Here is a 1,997-nt window from a genome sequence, read left to right as displayed (position 1 = left end):
TGGTAAATTTTTCTCCATCCTTTTATATTGAGCCTATGTGTGTCATTGCATGTGAGATAAGCCTCTTGAAGACAGCATATAAATTTGTCTTGGTTCTTTTTCCAGCTTGCCACTCTGTGTTTTTTAATTGGGGCATTTAGCCCATTTACATTTAAAGTTAGTATTGATATGTTTGGATTTGATCCTGTCATCATGATGTTAGCTGGTTATTTGGCAGACTTGTTTATGTGGTTGCTTTATTGTGTAACTTGTCTGTGTACTTCATTGTGTTTTTGTACTGGCTGGTAATGGTCTTCCCTTTCCATAATTAGTTTTTCATGCTCTACATGTTCAGAGAAATTTCTCTAGGAATGAACTATAGAAATAATCCCTGAAAGTGTAGTCTTTGTAAAAAGTTTTTAAATCAGAAAATATGAGTCCTCCAAAATTACTCTTCTTTTTCAAGATTGTTTTGGCTATTAGGAGACACTCACAATTCCATATGAGTTTGAGAATTAGCTTTTTCTTTTTTAAAAAATATGTCATTGGAATTTTCCTAGAGATTGCATTGAATATATAGATTTATTTGGGTAGTATGACATTATAGCAACATTAAGTTTTCAAATTTATTAACACTAATATATTTCAATTCATTTAAGTATTCTTAAATTTATTTCAGTAATGTGTTGTAGTTTTCAGTGTACAAGTCTCTCACATCTGTATTAATCAGGGTTCTCCAGAGAGACAGAACCAATAGGATATATATATATAGAAATATATAGAAAGAGATTTATTATGTAGCATTGGCTCACACAATTACTGAGGTTGAGAAGTCTCATGATCTGCCATTTGCAAGCTGAAGACACCAGAAAGCTGATGATATAGTTTCATTCCAAATTTGAAAGCCTGAGAACTGGAGGGCTAATAGTGTAAGTCCCAGTCTAAGTCTGAAAGCCTGAAAACAAAGACCACTGATGTCTGAGGGCAGGAGAAAATGGATGCCCCAGCCCAAGCATAGGCCAAGTTACTCTTCCTCTGCCTTTTTGTTCTGTTCAGCCTTCCGTGGATTGGATGATGTTCACCCACATCAGTGAGGATAATCTTTACTCAGCCTACCACTTCAAATACTAATTTCTTCTGAAAACATCCTCACAGACACATCCAGAAATATTTTATCAACTATGCGGGCATTGCTTAGCCCAGTAAAGTTGACACATAAAATTAACCATCATAATCTACTTGGCTAATTTTTGGGGGGCACTTTATTCCTTTGGATGCTACCAGAAATTTACTTAATTTCTTAATTTCTTTATCAGATTGTTTATTGGCAGTGTATAAGAGCACAGTTGGTTTCTATGCATTATCTTGTACTCAAAAACTTTGCTGAATTTGTTTATTAGATTTAGTAGCTTTTTTATGGATTATTGGGATTTTCTATTATGTCATCTGGAAACAGTTTTACTCTTTTACTTCAATTTCAATACCTTTTGTTTCTTTTTCTTGCCCAATTACTCTGGCTAGAACTTCCAGTACAATTTTGAATAGCAATGGTCAAGGCAGCCTCCTTGTTTTGTCCCTGACCTTAGAGAAAATGCTTTTATTCTTTGACATTGCATAATGTGCATAGCTGTGGGTTTTCCACAATACCCTGTATCATATTGAGGAAGTACCCTTTCATCTTTTGACTTAGTTTGCTCTTTGTTTTTTCTAATTCTTAAGATGTACATTTAGGTTATTGATCTTTACTTACATTTTAAATTTAAGTTTTCATTTGTTTCTTCCAGCAGTTCTTCTTTTCTTCTAGTTTTTTCTTTCTTTTTTCTTTTTTTTTTTTTTTTCTCATGAGTGCTGTATCTCCTTAAGTGATTTGGTATTTTTCTTTGACTACTCACCAGGATTCAGCCAGCCGCTGGGCTACCTTAGGCAGTGTCAATTCTAAGAGTGGTGAGAGAGGTAATCTCAGTGGCCTTTACCTCAGTGAGCTTAGCTGCAGAGCAGCCAGCAAGTTACCAGTATTC

General features: G+C 34.6%; 1 pseudogene; it reads right to left on the bottom strand.

Moving 5' to 3' along the window:
• Window positions 1-276: 276 nt before the first annotated feature.
• LOC124901222 (uncharacterized) lies at window positions 277-386 on the bottom strand (annotated as a pseudogene).
• Window positions 387-1,997: the final 1,611 nt, after the last annotated feature.

This window comes from Homo sapiens, chromosome 5 (genome assembly GCF_000001405.40).
Source record: "Homo sapiens chromosome 5, GRCh38.p14 Primary Assembly".
Taxonomy (NCBI): domain Eukaryota; kingdom Metazoa; phylum Chordata; class Mammalia; order Primates; family Hominidae; genus Homo; species Homo sapiens.
Note: the sequence above shows the minus strand (reverse complement) of the source record. Positions and strands in the feature narration are given on the sequence as shown.